The 21,291-nt window shown below is 48.3% G+C and overlaps 1 protein-coding gene and 1 long non-coding RNA gene across 2 annotated transcripts, besides 1 other annotated feature; one reads left to right on the top strand and one right to left on the bottom strand.

Annotated features, from left to right (window-relative positions):
* Positions 1–15,934: 15,934 nt before the first annotated feature.
* On the bottom strand, positions 15,935–20,480 carry MYOPARR (myogenin promoter associated myogenic regulatory antisense long non coding RNA). Its single transcript, NR_160550.1, has 3 exons — positions 20,296–20,480; positions 19,702–19,903; positions 15,935–17,792 (listed from the first exon to the last, which is right to left on the bottom strand). It is a non-coding gene; the product is annotated as a myogenin promoter associated myogenic regulatory antisense long non coding RNA (long non-coding RNA).
* Positions 16,427–16,944: an enhancer, noted in NCBI's record as "NANOG hESC enhancer chr1:203056459-203056976 (GRCh37/hg19 assembly coordinates)". NCBI's record gives its function as "activates a minimal SCP1, AML or CMV promoter by ChIP-STARR-seq in naive H9 embryonic stem cells {active_cell/tissue: H9 hESC(naive)}" and the evidence as "EXISTENCE:reporter gene assay evidence [ECO:0000049][PMID:30033119]".
* On the top strand, positions 18,263–21,146 carry MYOG (myogenin). Its single transcript, NM_002479.6, has 3 exons — positions 18,263–18,784; positions 19,547–19,628; positions 20,244–21,146. Exons 1-3 carry the CDS (start codon positions 18,314–18,316, stop codon positions 20,363–20,365), a joined length of 675 nt encoding a protein of 224 aa, NP_002470.2. The 5' UTR covers positions 18,263–18,313; the 3' UTR covers positions 20,366–21,146.
* The last annotated feature ends 145 nt before the right edge of the window (positions 21,147–21,291 follow it).

Genomic DNA, 21,291 nt, shown 5'->3' with positions numbered 1-21,291 from the left:
CATTCTGTTTATATAGTGTTATTAGTCAATTTGGGCTGCCATAACAAAATATCATAGGCTAAGTGGCTTTAGCAACAGAAATTTATTTTCTCACAGTTCTGGAGGCCAAAACTGAGATCAGTGTGCCAGCATGGTCCAACTGTGGTGAGGGCTTTCTTCCTGAATTGCAGATAGCTGCCTTCTCCCTGTGCACTCATCTGGCATTTTCTTGATGTATGCATGGCCCGTGGGTGCAGACGGGTAGTGAGGGAAAGAGAGTGCGTGTGCACGCAAGCTCATTAGGTCACTGATCCCATCATGAGGGCCCCACACTCATGACTTCATGTAATCTTAATTACCTCTCAAAGGCCTTATTTCCAAAGACCATCACACTGGGGGTTAGGGCTTCAGCACATGAATTTTGGGAACACAAGCATTTAGTCCCTAACATATAGCCACCCAGATTAGCTAATTATCACTTTGGCAGATTGAGAGGGGCCAAAGTGCATAGGACTTATCAAAAGTATGTTTTCTTAGAGGGTGAGAATGACAGTGAGGAAAGAGCCCAAGGATTCTCCCCTCAACCCCCAACGAGGTTGAGGATTTGCTTGGCTTTGAAACTTTGAAGCCCCTCTGCTGTGAGTGGTGCCTGCCTCTGGTACCCTCATGTTTTCCGTGCACATTTCATCTGCCTGGCAGCTGCTGGCCCTGTCCAGCCAATGGCTCAGGAGGGAGCACACCGCTTCTGTGCAATTTCTTGAAATGGGCACTTCCTTCTAAGAGAACTGTTCCCCAGAGAGTTCCTCGACATCTGCAGTGATGGAGAGTCCACGCACAGGCTTTGGGATGGGGGAGGCAGCACAAAGGGAAGAAGCTTTAAATTCTAAAGCAGAGAAAACAAAACTCCTGCCAGAAGCAGGGGAAGATGGGGAAGGAGGCAGGGATCTAGGAAGCTTCTGCTTTGGTCTCAGTATTGGGGTTTCATAGCACAGATGGCCAGGGTTATTTATAACTTGCAACAGGCAGAGTTGAGATCGGTGAAATGCAAGAGGCTTGGCTGACAATGGTTGGGGCCAGGGTAGGGATTGAGACCTCCAGAAGCCCTCCTAGAATGCAGGACTTTGTTTTAGGGATGGGGGTACCACCATGGAAAAGTTATGGAGCCAAAGCCCCCTCCTACAGGCTAGATGAGAAGTCTTCCAGAGAGCTACTGCTTTTAGGAATAATCATAGTCCCATTAATAATAATAAATAATAGCTAACATTTTATTAGCTGACTGGGTGCCAGGCAATAAGCTAAGTGCGTTATTATCCCCATTTCCAAAATGAGAAAACTGAGGCTTGGTGAGGGTAAGGAACCAACCTAAGGCCTCATATCCATAAGTAGTGAAGCTCTCTATCTGCTCTGTATGGGAAGGAGGAGAGGCCAAGGGCCTAACATCACATCTATGTCACAGCTATGTCACATCAGCCCTTTGCCACCCAACAGAGGCAAGATCACTGGGGTAGAAAATTGGGCAAGGATCTTTGATAGGGGGGCAGTGACAGGAATCTGGAAGGATCTGGGGCAGGCAGAGGTCCAGAAGGGAGACTCTAGACAACGTGTGTGTGTGTGTGTGTGTGTGTGTGTGTGTGTGTACCTAAGTGATCACCTAGGTAAAGGTGGTGTGATTATATGTAGAAGATATTAAATGAATATTTCCTGGCTCTTGAAGACAAGGCAGGCAGGCTGCTAAAGTCCAATGTGGCTTACTCCATTCTGCCATCTGTCACTTTAGACAAGGACTTCCTCCTCCCTACTTCTCAGTTTCTCCTCTTTAAAATGATGCAGTTGGCCTAAGATTCTTCCCAGTTCTGATAATTTGTGCATCTGTGATTTCACTGTGGTTAGCACATGTGGAGGAGGGGGAAGGCTGGATGTCAAAGGTCAAAGGTTGGCTATCAACCACCAAGGCTGGCAGCCAAGCCCTGGCAAGGACAGCCAGCAAGATCAAAGCTAAAGGAAAACCAGTCAGGAGGCACTGTCTGCTCCCCAAGCTCGAGCCCAGGAGCAGCATGTGCAGGGAGTGAGGCGCCACAAGCACAACTGATCCTGCCAGCACCCACTCCCAGGGCTCCAGGCACTGGTGCCAAGTACCCCACCAATGGGTGGATGGAATGCTCAGAAATTCACAACTCCAGGAGCAAGGCTGTCTGTCTCAGGATAAACAAAGCCCCAGGCAACTTGATGCAGCTCACCTACTCTTCCGGCTGCAACAACCTTTTTGAAGGTCAAGTCATCCAGCCCCCGGAAGCAGTCTACAGTTCTACGTTCCTCTGAATTACATCCTTGTTTTTTCCCAAGGTCAAAAGGGCCAGTAATTCACCCCTGGTCATAGAGCACGTGGCTATTCACAGGATTCAGATCTCTGAATTCTCACTCTGTGCCACAGAAGGGACTTGCTTCAATGACATGGACTTTATTGCTTAGTTTCACTACTCAGTGAGTATGTAGCGAATATCCACAATGTGCACTTGCTGAGTATCTACTGTATACACACTCTAAAGAGGAGTTGTCACCAAGGTTGTCCAAGGTCAACCTTAATGGCTATAGATCTTAATGGAGAAGACTGTCCACTGACTTTGGAGTAAGCCAGGCTGGGTTCTAATCCTGCCTTTATCTTCCAATTGCACCACAGCAAATTTCTTAACCATACAATATGATTTGGCTCTGTGTCCCCACCCAAATCTCATGTCGAATTGTAATCCCCACCTGTTGAAAGTAGAGCTTGATGGGAGGTAATTGGATCATGGGGGCAGTTTCTAAGGGGTTAGCACCATCCCCCTAGTGCTCTCTCGTGATAGAGTTCTCGTGAGAACTGGCTGGGTTTTTTGTTTTTTGTTTGTTTGTTTGTTATTTGAGATGGAATCTTGCTCTGTTACCCAGGCTGGAGTGCAGTGGCATGATCTCGGCTCACTACAACCTCTGCCTCCCAGGTTCAAGCAATTATCCTGCCTTAGCCTCCCAAGTAGCTGGGATTACAGGCACCTACCACCACAGCTGGCTAATTTTTGTATTTTTAGTAGAGACGGGGTTTCACCACATGTTGGCCAGGCTGTTCTCGAACTCCTGACCTCGTGATCCATCCGCCTCGGCCTCCTGAAGTGCTGGGATTACAGGCATGAGCCACCGCGCCCGGCTGAGATCTGGTTGTTTAAAAGTGTGTGGCACTTCCCCCAATCCGCCTGCCACTATGTGAAGAAGGTGCTTCCTTCTCCTTCACTTTCCGCCATAATTGTAAGTTTCCTCAGGCCTCCCAGTCATGCTTCCTGTACAGCCTGCAGAACTGTGAGTCAATTAAACCTCTTTTCTTCCTAAATTACCCAGTATCAGGTAGTTCCTTACAGCAGTGTGAAAACAGACTAATACACCATGACTCCCAGTCTGAAAACTGGTAATAATACCTAGCTCATAGACTCATTGTAGGGACAAAATAGTTAATGTGCCTAATGCATTTATCACAGTACCCAGTAAACAGGAAGGTCCTAAATGATGATGCAACTGTTGATGATGGCATGGTGATGATGGTCACATTGTCCCCCTGAGGCAATCCTACTCTGGACCCAGGTACTTCCTTGACCATCCAACCCCTACCAGGTGACATTACATGAAGAATGCAGCTGGCTCTAGGTTCAAGAATTTAAAACAAACAAACAAACAAACCACAAAACCATTGCTCCTTGCCCTTGGACCAGGAAGTATGAGAGCTCACAAGCCAACAAACAAACAGCTGCTTTCAGAAATCTAGTAACAGCCAAGAAAGATGAGGCCCGTGTTGTGGCCGCAGCCCTCCTGAAAGGGCAGGGTAGGAGGACCCCGAATCAGGGAAGGACAGGTTCCTGAGCTCCTATCCCAGGCTGGCCCCTGACCCACCTCCCAATGCCTCTACTTCCTCACCTGTAAGCTCAGGAAAGCAAACCACAGGTGAGATGAGCCACAGCTAGAAATCTGAAGTCAGGGCTTTGTCTCCACTGTGGGGGAGCCAAGATGGGCTGACGATGTGGAACAAGTGAATCACTAAATGTCTGGCTGCATGAACTCCTTCAGTGGTGTGAGGACACAAGGGTTGGCACTCTAGAAATGGGAACAGCCTGCTGATAAAAATCCTTGTGCCTGGGAAGCAAGTCCACCCAACCCTGCCCCTACCACTAGGAAGCCATCTGCTTTCAGAAACAGAAAAGCAAATGGGTCCTGACTTGGGCTGGCCCAAGCCCCCACAGAAAGGGGAATGCAGACAGGCAGGGTGGCTCAGGGAAAACACTCCAGGCACCAGGGTCTGGAGGGTGGAACACAGTGTTCCCACGGCCCGCTATGCAGGGAACGCAGCAGATGGAACTGCACTGACTCCAGGGAAACATTTGGTTCCTTGTCTCACACCAACTCACTGGAAAGGATGGTAAGGAAGGCCTGAGAATAGACAAACAAAAGAGAAGGTCAGGGAAAGGCAAGGAAGCCAAGCCAGGAAGCTGAGCAGAAATTTCCTCAGATCCTTCCAGAGGCCCTGAGCAGGTGGTGACAAAATGCCAACACCAGAAGGAACTTTCTAGAACAATAAATCCAATTCCCTTATTTTATGGATCAGGAAACAGGTCCCTAGGGAAGTCAGCACTGTGCAGTGGAAAAAGACTGTAGAGTCAGGGAGATGTGAACTCCATAGCTGTGTGATTTGGTGCAAGTTTATTAACCTCTCTGATCCTCAGGTTTGTCTTTTGTAAAATGGGGACCCTGTCATCTCCACAGTCATGCCGTGAGAAGGGAGTGAGGTACTCAGCACAGAGCAGAGCCTCAATAAATACCGGCTTCCAATTCTCAAAGTCACATACGGGTTAATGGCAGAGCTAGAACTAGAATCCAACGTCCGAACTTCCCACACTCCTTACTCCAGTTACAGAAAAGAGTCAAAGAAAAGACATGCCTGTGATGTGCCACTGGGGGTGGGGTAGGGAGAGGGCAATGAGATGTTAGAAGGGATTTTCTCATGACCAAAGCACGGGAATGCATTACCAAGGGTTCCATTTTGGGAGCTTATTTAAGTGTGTGCCTGAGATGGATTAAAGGCTGGGAATGAACTAAATGTCATCTTGATGACCTGTTCAGCCCACAGATGGTAGAATTCAATTTACCAGAGTTAGGGCTGGCTATGCCACTCCCTAAACTCCTCCAAAGAAAGGAAATGAATATGCATTCTTTCACTCAACTAACATTCATTGAGCACATAATATGACCTGAGAACAAGGTTTTCTTATTATTATTTTTGCCTATGAGGAAACGAAGGTCCCAAGATATTACAGGAAGATTCCATGCAGCTAGCAAGTGGCGGAGCCAGAATTCAATGCTATCTTAGTCTGCTCTTTGCCCAATGCCATATTGCATCTCCTGTCTTCTGATAGACTGAAAGGGGTAAAACTGTGCTAAGGCTGAACTCCCTCAGAACAGTGTGCATGGTGTGCATAGACAGAAGGGTTCTTAGAAGAACTCCCCCAGCTTGCCCCTTCCTGGGGGTAGAAATAGCTCCTGGAAGCTGCCTTGGGATCTTGTTTCTGGAGCTGCTCTGGGGAGGAATCTGCCTAGGATCTCCTGGCTCCCTCACCAAGGCCAGATCTATCCACCAGACAGAGTTTCCCAGGCCCCTCCCAGAACATGTTCACTGCCCAGAGCTCCACTGCGCTTCCCATATTCCCAGTCCTCTTATTAGAACTGAGAAGCAGGCAAACAAAAAAATTCAGAGCCTGACAGGCAGATGCAGTCCCTGTCTAATGGTGGAGACACAATCCCTGACCTCAGGGAGCCCCCATTCTTTAGGGGAGATGCAGCCCTACTCTGCCAGAGAGCTCCCAGGATAATAGAGTGATTGAAGAAACACTACTTATGCTCTCAGGAAGCTCCCAGTGTGATGGAGGAGACGAGGACAAAAGGATGTAAATTAATAACAGAGCCAGGCATGGTGGCTCATGCTATAATCCCACCACTTTGGGAGGCTGAGGTGGGAGGACTGCATGAGCCCAGGAGTTTGAGACCAGTCTGGGCAACATAGTGTGGCTCCATCTTTACAAAAAAACAAAAAAATTAGCTGGGCATGATGGCATGAACCTGTAGTCCCAGCTACTCCAGAGGCTGAGGAAGGAGGATCACATGAACCCAGGAGGCTTAGGCTGTAGTGAGCCATGACTGCACCACTGCACTCCAGCCTAAGCAACAGAGTGAGGCCCTGTTTCATAATAATAATAATAGGGCTAATGCTTATTGAGTGCCAGGCACTTTATAAATATGAAATCATTCAATCTCTATAACAACCCTGTGAGACACATCTCATTTTTATCCTTATTAAACAGATGAAGAAATGGAGGTTGCTATTGTCTGAATGTATCCCCCAAAGTTCATGTGTTGGAAACTTAATCCCCAATGCAACAATATTGAGAGGTGGGGCCTAATAAGAGGTGATTGGGTTTTGAGAGCTCTGCCTTCATGAATAGATTAATGTCATTATCTTGGGAGTGGGTTAGTTATCATGAGAGTGGGTTGTTATAAAACCAAGTTTGGCCCTCCTCTTCCTCTTGCTTTTGCCCTCTCTTGCCCTTCCACCTTTCACCAGCACAAAGGCCCTTGCAAGATGCTGGTGCTATGCTCCTGGACTTCCCAGCCTCCAGAACCATGAGCCAAATAAATTTCTGTCTGTTGTAAATTACCCAGTCTGTGGTATTCTGTTATAGCAGCATAAAGACGAAGACAGAGGCACCAAGAGGTAAAATGACTTACATAAAATTACAAAGCTTTCAAGTGATAATTCCAGGATTTAAAATCCAGGCAGTCTGGTTCAAAGATCTCTTAAATAAAAGAGAAAGATAAAGTGAGCCACTGGGCAGTTCTGGAGACTCTGGGGATCCTCTGGCTACTGGTGGACTCCAGGTGGGCCAATGACAGTTGGTTTGGTCTGATAAGGCTGCCTAAGGATAACAGAAGAATAGTGTTGCAGGTCTTGCAACATCTGGACCTGGATCCACATCTTTCTGGATGAGGGTCCAGAAAGCCCTGAATCACAAAGCAGGCCTGCTGAGATCAGCATGGGGGAGCCAGAAGTAAAAGCAGTGAGGATAAGACCCTTAGAGGAAGAAGGCCTTATGAGGTGTTTGGATCAAGCACCCAGGAAAAGCCAGTGACCCTGCCAAGGAAAGAGCTCACTGGGGACATAGGAATCTCACAACAGAAGAACGAGAGTGGGGAAGAACATAAGAGAACACCCAATGGTAGAGTTTCCATTGGGAAGGCTCTTGAGCACCAAGCCTAGGGGTGAGATTGTGGACAGGGAGTTGGCAAGAAGGCAAGCAGCATCAACAGCACATTCCCTTCACCCCTCATACCCAACAGGGTACTCAGCACAGCTCTCTGCAGGGTGCCCATCTTGAATGCTGTAACTAGTTGCCTTTGGAATAACACACTGATCATGAGCTGGGCTTTGGCATGAGACAGATCTGGGTTTCTGCTCCTAGGTTTACAACCTACCAGCTGCCTCTCTGAGCTCTGGGGGCTCATCTGCAAAACAGTGATCACTGTAATTACCTTATGGCATTATTGTGAGGATTATGTAGCACTTAACTCAGGGCTTTATTTTCACCTAGCTTAGTAAGTAATAACCCATGGGTTATATAGAATTTTAACTTCCAAATATTTGGGGATTTTCCAGAAATTTCCATTATTGATTTCTAATTTAATTCCATCGTGATTGGAGCACATATTCTTTATTATCAGTATTTTAAATTTTATTAAGAATTATTTTATAGCCCAGTGTATGATCTTGGCAAATGTTTCATGTGTCCTTGAAAAAAAATGATTATTCAGTTATTGTTGAGTGGAATAGCCTACAAACGTCAAATGGTAAAACTGATAGATAAGGTTTTCTATTTCCATAACGACTTCATCTACTTGTTCTATGAATTACTAAGAGAGGAGCATTGTCATCTCTAACTAAAATTTTGGATTTGTCTATTTCTCCTTTCAGTTTTGCTTTGTGGACTTTGAAGGTCTGTCGTGAGGTATGTATAAATGAAGGATTAATATGTCTTATTGATAAACTGACCCCTTTTATCATTATGTAATGTGTCTCTTTATTCCTGGCAATGTTCCTTCTTCTGAAATATACTTTTTCTGATATTAATATAGGTGCTCCAGGTTTCTTATGATTAGTTTTTGCATGGCATACACTTTTCCATCCTTGTACTCTAAGCTGTATCTTTATATGTCAAATTAGTTTCTTGCAGACAGCCAATAGTTGGATCTTGCTTTTAAATCCAGTCTATTTATGTTTAATGCAGCTATAGATATGGCTGAGTTTAAATCTACCATCTTGCTAATAGTTTTCAAATTGTCTCATCTTCTCTTTGTTCCTTTTCTTGCTTCTTTTCCTGTATTCTTCTAGATTAACTGAGTATTTTAAAAACATTCCAATTTATCTCTGATTAGCTGTAACGGTTTTGTTTTTTAGTAATTGCTCTAGTGTTAATAATATGCATCTTTAATTTATCACAGTCTACCTTCAAATAATATTATACCACTTCTCATATAATGTGAGAAACTTACAACAGTATACTTCTAGTCCCCACCTCCCATTCTTCATCCTATTGTTGTCATACATTTTATCTCTATTTATGCTGTAAACCCCCCAACACATTATTATTTTTGCTTTAAGTAGGCAACTATCTTTAAAAGACATTTTAAAACAAGGGGGAACAGTCTTTTTATATTTGCCATATGTTTACCACTTCTGATGCTCTTCATTCCTTTATGTACTTTACATTCCCATCTCGTATCATTTTCCTTCTGTGTAAAAAACTTCCTCTGACATTTCTTATAGTGAAGAATGGCTAGTGATGAATTCTCCCAGCATATTGTTGTCTGAAAAAGTTATTTTGCCTTCATTCCTGAAATATATTTTCACTGGATATAGAATTCTTGGTTGACAGCCTTTTCTTTTGGCACTTTAAAGATGTTGCTCCATTGTCTTCTGGCCTTCATTGTATCTGATGGGAAATCATCAGTTTTCCTATCTGTTCCTATATACATAATGTGTCTCTTTTTCTTTGGCTGCTTTAAAATTTTTTCTCTTTATCACTGGCTTTCAGCAATTTGATGATGTGCCTTGGTGTGGATTTCTTTGTGTTTATTCTTTTGGGGACTTATTGAATTATTTAGATCTGTGAGTTTACAGTTTTTATTAGATGTGGAACCTAGAACATTATTTCTTCTAGGCTTTTCTGCCCTTTTCTGGAACTTCAATAACACATATGTTAGCCCACTTGATATGATATTATCCCACAGGTATGAAGCTCTTTTTGTTTTGGTATTTTTCTCTGTATTTCATTTTGGGTAGTTTCCATTGCTTTGTACTCAGATTCAACAAACTTTTTCTGCAATGTCTAATCTGCTAGTGATCTAATATTGACTGAGGGTTTGTGTCCTCCAAAATTCATATGTTGAAGCCCTAACCCCCAATGTAATAGTATTTAGAGATGGAGCCTTTGGGGGATAACTGGATGATACGGGAGGGGTCCTGGTCTCATGGGATTAGTGTCCTTATAAGAGATACCATAGACACTAAGATCTCTCTCTCTGTCTCTCCCTCTCTCTTTCTCTCTCTCTCTCTCTCTCTCCATCCACACACCAAAGAAAGGCCAGGTAATCATGAGGGCATGAAGGTAGTCATCTGCAAGCCAGGAAGAGAGCCCTCACCAAAATCTGACCATGCTGGCACCCTAATCTCAGACTTCCAGCCTCCAGAGCTGTGAGAAAATAAAAGTCTGTTGTTTAAACTACCCAGTCTTAGGTATTTTGTTATGGCAGCCTGAGCAGACTAATAAGTAATACTATCCAGTGAAAGTCTGATTCCTTTTTATAGGATTCCTTCCTATCTGCTAAGTCTTTTTTTTTCTTTCTTTTTTTTTTTTTTTTAGATAAGGTCTCACACTATCTGGGCTGGAGTACAGTGTCATGATCACAGCTCACCATAGCCTCAACCTCCCAGGCTCAGCCTCAGCCTTCCAAGTAGCTGGGACTACAGGCATGCACCAGCATGCCTGGCTAACTTTTTGGTATTCTTTATAGAGACCAGGTTTCACCATGTTGCCCAGGCTGGTCTCAAACTTCTGTACTCAAGTGATCTGCCCACCTTGGCCTCCCCAAATGCTGGGATTACAGGTGTGAGCCACTGTGCCCAGACCCCTATCTGCTAATTATAGCACGTTCCTACCATTTCTGGGTCTATATCAATTAATTGATTTTTCTCCTGATTATGAGTCACATTTTCCCCTGCTTCTTTGCTGTCTGCTAATTTTTTATTGGGTGACTCACTGTGAATTTTACACAACTGAGTGGTTAGATTTTGTTATAATCCTTTAAAAAGTATTGGACTTTGTTTTGGAAGACAGCTAAATTAATTTGATGCTTTTGAGGCTTGTTTGAAACTTTTTGAAGGCAGATCTAGAGTAGCTTTTATTACTAAGGTGTGACCCTTTTGTAATCTCAGTTAAATGCCCCATGTCTTTAATGAGGCCTCTCACTTTGGCTGGTGGAATTGAAAAAATCCCTGGCCCTATGTGAATCTAGGAATTGTTTGGGGCTTTTTTGTTTTGTGTAGTTTTGTTTTGTTTTGTTTTGTTTGAGACAGGGTCTCACTCTGCCACCCAGGCTGGGGGTGCAGTGGTGTGATCACGACTCACTGCTGCCTCAGACCTCTTGGGCTTGAGCAGTCCTCCTACCTCAGCCTCCAGAGTAGCTAGGACTACAGGCATACTCCGTCATGCTCACCCAATTTTTAAAAATTATTTCTTGTAGAGACAGAATCTCATCATGTTGCCCAGGCTGGTCTCTAACTCCTAGACTCAAGTGATCCTCCCACCTTGGCCTCCCAAAGTGTTGAGATTACAAACATGAGCCACCATACCTGGCCTAGGAATTGTTGAGACGAAGAAGACAGCAGGGATTGTTGGACTTGTTGAACAATTAGATGTGGAAGGATAAGAAATGAAGAGCAATTACTGGGTGGGTGGTGGCATCAGTCACCAGTAAGGGGGATATTGGAATGGAGGACAGAGTGAGTGAATTCTTTATCAGATAAATTTAATTTTAGGAGTCCGCATGACATGGAAGTAGAGAAGTCTACTAGCACCTTGGATATGTGATCCAGCTCAGGGAAGAGGCAGAGGCTAGAATATAGACTTGGGAGTAATTAATACATAACATAAATACATAATTTAGTACATAAAGTTAAGAGACGTTAACATTTATCAAGCATTTATACACATGGTAGTTAAACTAGGTGAAAGAACGAGATTACAAAGGGAAACTGTAAAAAAGCAGACTAAAAATTAAAAATCCTTCTTAAAGGGTGGGCAGGGGTGAAGTGCATGAAAAGAACAAAGAGGAGAGGAGAGAGGAAGCAAAGAGAGGAGGAGAAATGGTGAGAAAAGTTAGAGAAGAGCCAGGAGAGGAAGGGGTCGTGGAAGCTAAGAAAGCAGAGAGTTTCACGAGAAGCATGGTCAACATTGTCAAATGACACAGACCAATCATGTAAAATTAAAACTGAGAAATATCCAGGCGATGGTGCCCAGTGAGGGTCTCTGATTTTGGGAAGACCCATTTTAGTAACTTGGGAAGGTAGAAGCCAATAAGTAGACAAGCAAATGAGAAGTGAGGAAGTGGAAAGAGTAAGTGTAGACTCCTCTTTCTAGAAATTTGGTGAAGAAGGGAAGGTTAGTTTTCCAGCCCTAGCTGAGGAGGCTCCATGGAAAAGAGAAGGAATTTTTTTTTTTTTTTTGACAGGACAGACTTCAGCATGTTTATAGGCTCTTAGGAAAGCCCAGCAGACAGGAACAACGGAATGAAGTCCTCAGAGGAGATAAGAGTAATGGGATCAATAGCACTGGCAGAGTTCCCCAAGTCTCTACAGTTAATAGGTGGCAAAGTTACTTATGACGGGTAGGGAAGAGACATGATTCGTCACCGCACTTTAAAGATAGAAAAACGAAGCCCACAGTGAAAGAGAATTGCCTCAAACCATACAGCCTGGGACTTAATAGAAGAGATCCACCCCCCACCACTGGCCACGTGACTTTCTATCCCAGAAGACTCCCTCTGTATCAATGTAGAGCCTTGGCCACCCCTGCAGAAACCTAGGAAATGGTGGATGTCTGAGTCCCAGAGAGGAGAATGTAGGGAGGGTCATAGGGCACATTCTGGGAAGGGGTGGCTCTCCGGAGAGGGACTGGGGAGGAGAGGACAGAGCTGGGAGGAAAGCAAAGGCATCTCCACCCAGGCAGCAGCTGCTTGCAAATATGTTACAACTTGTCAAACAGGCAGAAATAGATGCAGTCCAGGGAATGGAGGGGGTGGTGGCATGCTAGGGCTTCTGAACCCACAGACAGGGCAGATTTGGGGGGTGGGAGGGAGTAGCAGGGAAGGGGACAGCCAGGGGGGCAAATCCACAAGTGAGTATGACAAATATATGCCGAGCAGTTCTAAGTAGGTGGAAATGGGTCCAGAGAACCATCTGGTTACCTTCCAGTGAGGTTAAACCTGGGAGCCGAAGTGGAGATGGGAAAAGGACAAAATATCTCTAGAAATCTACCCTCTCTGATCCTGTGAGTCTTCAGAGCTAAACCTGGTTCATACAAAACAGTCCTCCTACCCTGACTCCATGAGCACTTCCTCCAGATGCACATGCTAAGTCAGAAAAAAAAAAAAAAAAAAGGCATCCTGACCAGTCAGTTCGGCATCTTGGTTTACAGATGGGGAAATTGAGAACCAGAGAGGAGACAGAACAGCAACATGCCCTGCCTTATCCAGGGCTCCGTCTTCTACTTTCCCTCCGTGTCCTGATAGTATTTGTCCTAACCAGGAGCTGAAGGCCCAAAGGCCCTGTTCCCATAGGAACGTAGGATACTTGTAAGAAATCCCTGCCCGTATTTCCAAAGGCCCCACCAGAGCCAGGTCCCCAGTTCACAGTGCTAAGCCTAGTTCTGGTTATTTTTAAAACCAGCTCTCTGCTTTGTCTCCACCAATCACCTCCCCTTGACCCTCACCCACTCTCCTCCAACCCAACCCCTTCCACCTCCGGGTCTGCACCTTCCCACACCCTAAAGCCAGAAATTCTTGAAGAATGATCCTGGCTCTGAGCATCAGATTCCAGGCAGGGACGGGATTTCCCAGTGGTCATCCGATGCTCAGTCCTCCATGGAAACAACGTGTGGCTTCAGAGGCCTGGTGGAGGGGGGACCCTCCCTTCCTCCTCACATCTCAATCCTGGCATCTGCCTCCAAATCTCCCCTGTCTCAATCCCTCAGGCCTCTGCCTGGCACCTCCAGCCCACTCTCTCTCTCACACCTCTCCTGTATCTTCTTTTCATCTCTCCAGCAGTACCTCTCCTGATGTCTCTCTAAACCCTCCATTCAAACTCTCCAACCCCTCACTGTCTGCCTACTTGTGGCCCCAGGCCCACCGGGAAATATCTACTCACTTGCTGCTTACTACTTACCCTTCCTCACCTGCCAGCCTCACAGAGGGAGAGGAGGCTCTGGGATTCAGAACAGGCACCCTTCACACTTCTGACACTCATCCTCTGTACGCTTGGGCAAGTCACTTCCCTTCTCTGGGCCTCCATTTCCCCATATGTGGAGGAAGAAGGTGGACTAGTGGATTCTAGACTGCCTTGCAGCTCTGACTTTCTGTGATTCTGTGATCTGTTCTCATCTTGCTGCAAAGCTACTGCCCCACAAATAATCAATGCTGATTTGCATGTAATTTTTATGCATCTATGTCCTATTGAAATGCACAAGCATTTGCCACCCCCCCCCACCCCCCCCCACCCCCGACCTCATCCTCATCAATAATACCCAGAGACCCAGCCTAGGAAAATATATGGTGAGACCTGTTTGGAGCAGCCAGAGGCCCCCACCCTTCCAGACCCTTCTCCTTCTTGCTCCTCTATTCCCAAGCACATGAGAATCCAGAATGGAAAAATTGCTTTGATTTTAGCCAAGCACCATGGCAGCCCAGGTCAGCCCACCTGCAAAATCAGCAGGGACTAGAAGATGCTGAAGGCCAGAGGGCTGTGACTGGGTGTGCAGCAGAAGGGGTAGTAAGGAGCAGGGAGCAGGTGAAGGGGATTTCTGAGCATTTTGAAATCCAGCCGCTACCATGCAAATGACATCAGCCCAGCGTGCAAATAGACAGAATCAAGTTGAAACAGTCAGGGTTGGGGAGCCAACAATGTGGCCCTGGAGCCCCAGTAGGGGATAAGGGCTTCCTCTGGAGGGCGCAGGACTGCTGGAGGAGGAGGCTACAGTCAGGGCAGGGGGCCCTGTGTGCCCAAGCCAGCAGGGATGGGGATTAGGGCCGGACGCCCTGCTGTCAGGTTGGAGCTGATGGATTGCCGCTGGTGGCGGAGCACAAAGGCTGTTCTGTGCTTGGCACCAATGTGTTCCCATCCATCAGAGGGCAGCTTGTGGGGGTGGAGGGGTGTACAAGGGGAGGAGGACCAAGCCTCTAGATGAGGCGTCTCCACAGCTCGGCTCTGAGAGAAGAACAAGATGGGTACAGGGCCAATCCCCCCCATCAGGGTATGGACAGGTCAAAGACACCTGGGTCACTCTATCAGCTCAGACCAAGAGGGTCTGTGCCCCACATCGGGCTTTGACGTGGTCCCCAAACCACTGTACTCAGACATACACAAACACACACAGAGACAGGGATTCACAGAAACCAGGCACACAAGGTCACCCTAACCTCCCGGCTCTGCCCTCATGTTTGGTCAGAGGCAAACATCATCCAGACACAAGGCCAAATGCATGCCCAACAGAGCTTCTGCAGGCAAGCGCCGAGTCTAGGCACTGCTCTTGCCCCAGGTCAGGTCCCAGCCAGGGAACTGACACAGAGTGGGTTCTCAGTAAATATGTGTTGAGCAGATGAAGGAGTGAATTAATAAATTCCTTCTCTGGATTACGTCAGCACTTTCTCTAGCCTGCTGTTTCTACCTTGGTTAGATGACTTTGTGTACTCATTCTCCTTACTCATCAGTGAACATGCTGAAGGCAGAGAGGGCATGTCTTAGTAACCCCAGCACCTGGCACAAGGTGCTGAATGCACAGTACTTGATAGAAAAAAAAATGAATGAATGAATAAACACATTCGGGGTGGAGCCAGGTTTTCCCTCCTCCATTCCTGCTGCTGTGGTCCCCTGCAGGGCACACAGAAGTAGAAGAGAAGACAAAGCAAGAAAAGGGAATAACATTTACCAGGTGTATCCATGTGCCAAGTACCCTATCATTTAATACAGCCATTCCCCTATTGCTTGCATACTCGCCATCCTTTGCTAGCCTGAAACATGCACCCTCTCCCAGTCGAATCCATCCTCCTGCCTCTGAAGAGGTTGTTCAGACCTTCATCATCTCATTCCTGGATGACCATCACACTGTTCTGTGCGGTCTCCTTGCCTCAGCTCTCAAGTCCTTCCCTGCCCAGCTGGGCCTCCTCCCCTCTGTGCAAGTTTGTCTCAAATCACCCCCTTACCTGAACCCCAAGCTCCATACAAACAGCCTACCCAACGTCCCCTTCCCCTGCTCCCCTCTCCTCATCTGAATCCTACCAGTTCTCCAAGAGCTGGCCCAGCATGCTCCCCAAGCCTTCTGCAGAGCACCAGTCTTCAGCAGTTTTGGCTTCCCAAAAATTCCCAAAACGCTTTTGAAGAAACTACTGGTTTGCAATTGATTAAAGCCCCCATGTTTGCTGTAGAATCAACATAGCTCTCCCTTGTCTTGTAATCCAGCTTTCACATGTCAACCCATGCTCACCAACTAGACAGTAAGGTCTGGAAACCACCATAGAGCAAGCCAGCTCTGCCTCCATTTTAGAGGAAGAAGACACATTATTTAGAGGTAAGTCACACTGGATCCTGGAATAACAAAAGATGCAAATATGGGGGTTCCTATAGTGGCTTCAACATGACTTCTTTTCTCAGGGCTCATAGGACTGGAGGGTAAACTGAGGCTTTTTTTTTCTTTTTTGTTTGGCAGGGGATGTGTTAGAAATAGAGACTCTTCTTCAGCCCAGCTGGTCAGGGGAAAGCAAAGTTTAGAACCCACACAGTACCTATGCTGCTACTTTTTTTTTTTTTTTTTTTTTTTTTTTTTGAGGCAGAGTCTCGCTGTGTCACCCAGACTGGAGTACAGTGGTGCGAACTCGGCTCACTGCAACCTCCTCCTCCTGAGTTCAAGTAATTCCCTGCCTCAGCCTCCCAAGTAGCTGGGATTACAGTGCCCACCACCATGCCTGGCTAATTTTTGTATTTTTAGTAGAGACAGGGTTTCACCATCTTGGCCAGGCTGGTCTTGAACTCCTGACCTCGTGATCCACCCGCCTTGGCCTCCCAAAGTGCTAGGACTACAGGCATGAGCCACCACGCCCGGCCTATGCTGCTACTTTCTATCATGCTGGTAAGGCCAAGAACAGAATTAAGACCTCACTGCTCTCCCTCAACATGCTTAGGGTTCTTTTGTTGTCCAGCTATGTTCCCTCCTTCCCTCCATTTCCTGTCCCAAAAGGACATCAGAATTCTCCTGGCTCCCTGCTGTGAATAATGAGAGGAAGGAACACTGGTTCTTCACATGCCTCGCAGATCTCATGTTCCCTGTGAAGTCTCCCATGAGTCCCCAGCAGGGTTCCCCTTCCTCTTATTGTCCTTGCCACTGGCTTGAACTTGTCAGTTTGATCTGTCGTAGGATAAGGAGCAGGACATTAGTCTATGGGGAGGAAAAAACTGGGAACAAAGGATAAAAGATAGAGGGAGCAGATTGCAGCCCAAAGCTACACGTCAATGGAACGGGCTGTCTCCTGACGTGAGCAGAAGCTGAACAGTAGCCGCCTCGGAGGAGATTTGGGCATCAGGGGCTAGGTAGAAAGAGGTGATCACCGTTGTCTATCAGATGGTAAGTTCGAGGGCAGGGATCCTGTCTGGGGTGTCCCTATAATCCCCAGCCCTAAGACTGAGCCTTGTTCACTGCTAGTGTCTAAGGTCTGCCCACTGCATTGGAAGGAATTTGTCCTCTCAGACCCTGAGGCACCTACTGAGAGGTGACCATGGCCTGAGAGGCCTGAAGATTAAATAGTCCCTGCTCTACCTGACATTTGAGACCTGCATGATACGTGTAAAATTGATGGCTCAGACAGTAAGAGGCAGAACAACCAAGCCCGGTGGCCAAGGAGAGAGGAGATTTAAACTGAGTTTGAAGGGCTCTGTTTTTTCTACTTTTTCACCCCCGTCCACATTAATGAGCCAGGAAAATTCTGGTGTTGGAAAAAGAGTTGAGGAGGTAACATAGAAGGACAGATCAATGGTCCGGAGTGAGACAGGGAGGAGACAGGGAGCTTAGGACATCTTGACCTTGCCGCTCTGGGGAAGGTGGCAACGTGTAGGCTGTAAATTCTAATCTCTGCTCTGACCACGGCTGCTGTATTAAAGAGGAAATTTCTCTTTACCCCTGCCAAGAAAACCAAAACCCAAATAATTTCTCTTGCCTCAATTTACCCCCCCAGATGAGACCTAAGAGAACATACAGCTCAAAGCTGCTTGGGAACCCCAAAAGTGGAATCTGTTAGCTGCTCTGAGTCTTGATCCTTCTTATCCCTGGATACTGAGTGCCCATGAATGCCCAGAATCTGAAGCAGTCCCATTCTTTCCGGAGGGAAGTCTTTAAAAGAGTCTCATCGACTGATGTAGTGTGGTTAAGGTGCTGTCAGGAAGCAAGGAGATGGATAAGTTGGCTCTTAAGGCCCCTTCCAGCCTAAGCCTACCCTTCCTTGTTCCCTCCTCCCCCTATACCCACCAGCTTCTTCGGGACTGCAAGGAGACAGCAGGCAGGCCGCCCAGCTAGGAGTAATTGAAAGGAGCAGATGAGAGGGGAATGTGTCCTCCCCCAACGCCCCTGCCCCACAGGGGCTGCTGAGAAATGAAAACTAATCAAATTACACCCGACGGCCTCCCGACCCGTGCACAGGAGCCCGCCTGGGCCAGGGGCAGGCTGGCAGGGTGGGGTGGGGGCCATGCGGGAGAAAGAAGGGGAATCACATCTAATCCACTGTAAACGCCTTGATGTGCAGCAACAGCTTAGAGGGGGCTCAGGTTTCTGTGGCGTTGGCTATATTTATCTCTGGTTCCATGCCAGCGGGGAGGGTTTAAATGGCACCCAGCAGTTGGCGTGAGGGGCTGCTGGAGCTTGGGGGCTGGTGGCAGGAACAAGCCTTTTCCGACCCCATGGAGCTGTATGAGACATCCCCCTACTTCTACCAGGAACCCCGCTTCTATGATGGGGAAAACTACCTGCCTGTCCACCTCCAGGGCTTCGAACCACCAGGCTACGAGCGGACGGAGCTCACCCTGAGCCCCGAGGCCCCAGGGCCCCTTGAGGACAAGGGGCTGGGGACCCCCGAGCACTGTCCAGGCCAGTGCCTGCCGTGGGCGTGTAAGGTGTGTAAGAGGAAGTCGGTGTCCGTGGACCGGCGGCGGGCGGCCACACTGAGGGAGAAGCGCAGGCTCAAGAAGGTGAATGAGGCCTTCGAGGCCCTGAAGAGAAGCACCCTGCTCAACCCCAACCAGCGGCTGCCCAAGGTGGAGATCCTGCGCAGTGCCATCCAGTACATCGAGCGCCTCCAGGCCCTGCTCAGCTCCCTCAACCAGGAGGAGCGTGACCTCCGCTACCGGGGCGGGGGCGGGCCCCAGCCAGGGGTAAGTGGCCATCCCATCCCCCTGCCCCAAGGGGACGGGGCCAGAGGGAGGCACCTGGACAGCCTCAAGACCCCAAGAGGGGCTCAGAGGGTTGGTGCAGGTGCCAGACAGGGTCGAGGGGCTGCAGGAGCCCTTCCCTGGTCAGAGCTGGGCTATCCAGCTGACCTCCTGTGTCCTGTGTTCTTTCCAGACAAGATAAAGGCAGTGGGGAGGAAGTGCAGAAGGGGTTGGGGTGGGGAACATAGGACTGAAGAAAGATCAGGAGCAAGGCCACAGTCAGCCCAGGTGAGGGTGAGGATTAATCCCAGCGCCTGAGTCAGAGCCTAAAAGGCCAGGCCAAGTTCACCAGAGAAGACTGCTTTGCCCCCATCCTGGGTGTGGCTGAGCAGAGAGAAAACCCACTCAGTCTCATTGGAACTCCAGCAGGCCTGCACAGAGCGACCTTCACTGGGCCACAAAATCTGTCTCCATCACCCTTATCGCCAGAGTCAGGAGAACCAGGGACCCCTTTAAGCTGGTGTCCTGTGAGAGCAGAACCACCACCCAGGATGGAAGCCAGGAAGGCCTGGAAGCAGGGCCTCTGGGGTGTGAGAGGAGCTAGTTACAAAGATTCTGGGGTTGGGGATGGCCTGGGCTGGAAGGCCACAGCCTGTGGCCCACCCTCCAACCCCACCACAGGTACTTCTGCCCACTGGGACTAGGCAGAGAGAGACATCAAAGAATGGCTGTGCCCCGACCTTGGGCCTTCGCCCTGTCTTGCAGGTGCCCAGCGAATGCAGCTCTCACAGCGCCTCCTGCAGTCCAGAGTGGGGCAGTGCACTGGAGTTCAGCGCCAACCCAGGGGGTAAGTAAGGCCTGACTGGTAACCTTGGCTCCAATCCCTCAGTCCCTCCCTGGGCCAGGTTCTCCCCTCTTACCTTATTCCTTGCTCCGGTCCTCTTCCCTTGGGTCTCTCTAGGGACCTGCTGACTCCAAGGCCCAAAGGGTGGGCTGGGAGGTTCTGTGTGCCCCTGCAGTCTTGACCAGCAAAGGAGTGATAGTAGCTCCTGCAGCTCCCCAGCTGATGCCTGGTGGTTGACCTTCTCCACAGAGAGGACAATGTCCCTGCCCCAGGGGTCCCTGTGAAGTGCTGAGTCAGTGCTGCAAAACTGGGCCGAGCAAAGGGCAGGTCCAGTCTCTGGGGAGCTCCATCCTGCTCCAACTTGAGTGGCTGCTTCCAAACCCTACCTACTAGGGGAGTTCAGAAAAGAGGCGCATACACACACACACACACACACACACACACACACACACACTCACAGAGCATGGGGAAAGGCAGGGACTAGGGAGTAGAACTCCGGAGCTTTGTCATTCATCTGTCCTGGAAAACCTCTGTCACCCCAAGGGTCCCATCCTCTATTCTGGGCCTCAAGAACCCCCACTGCTCACCCAGGTACCACCTTCCCACCTCCCCTTACAGATCATCTGCTCACGGCTGACCCTACAGATGCCCACAACCTGCACTCCCTCACCTCCATCGTGGACAGCATCACAGTGGAAGATGTGTCTGTGGCCTTCCCAGATGAAACCATGCCCAACTGAGATTGTCTTCCAAGCCGGGCATCCTTGCGAGCCCCCCAAGCTGGCCACAGATGCCACTACTTCTGTAGCAGGGGCCTCCTAAGCCAGGCTGCCCTGATGCTAGGAAGCCAGCTCTGGGGTGCCATAGGCCAGACTATCCCCTTCCTCATCCATGTAAGGTTAACCCACCCCCCAGCAAGGGACTGGACGCCCTCATTCAGCTGCCTCCTTAGAGGAGAGGGCATCCCCTTTCCAGGGAGGTAAAGCAGGGGACCAGAGCGCCCCCTCGTGTATGCCCCAGCTCAGGGGGCAAACTCAGGAGCTTCCTTTTTATCATAACGCGGCCTCTAATTCCACCCCCCAAGTGAAACGGTTTGAGAGACGCAGTGCCCTGACCTGGACAAGCTGTGCACGTCTCCTGTTCTGGTCTCTTCCCGATGCCAGTGGCTGGGCTGGGCCTGCCCTGAATTGAGAGAGAAGAAGGGGAGAGGAACAGCCCTCTGTTCCCAAGTCCCTGGGGGGCCAAACTTTTGCAGTGAATATTGGGAACCTTCCAGTGGTTTTATGTTTTGTTTTGTTTCGTGTGTTGTTTGTAAAGCTGCCATCCGACCAAGGTCTCCTGTGCTGAAGTTGCCGGGGACAGGCAGGGAAAAGGGGTTGGGGCCTCTTGGGGGTGATTTCTTTTGTTAACAAAGCATTGTGTGGTTTTGCCATTGTTTTGTATTTTTTTTTTTTTTTTTTTTTTTTGCTAACTTATTTGGATTTCCTTTTTTAAAAAATGAATAAAGACTGGTTGCCAGAAGAGTGTCGGTGATGATGCAGAGGGAGGGAAATGACTGACAGCCCTGCCCCTTCCCACTGAGCAGTCCAGACACACCCTAGTGGGTGGGGCTCCACAGCGCTAAGGGCCTCATCTTGCTGGTGGTCACTAGGCACTGGGGACCCCT

Source organism: Homo sapiens, chromosome 1 (assembly GCF_000001405.40).
Source record: "Homo sapiens chromosome 1, GRCh38.p14 Primary Assembly".
NCBI lineage: Eukaryota > Metazoa > Chordata > Mammalia > Primates > Hominidae > Homo > Homo sapiens.
The sequence above is the reverse complement of the archived record's forward strand: the minus strand, read 5'-3'. Positions and strand labels throughout refer to the sequence as shown.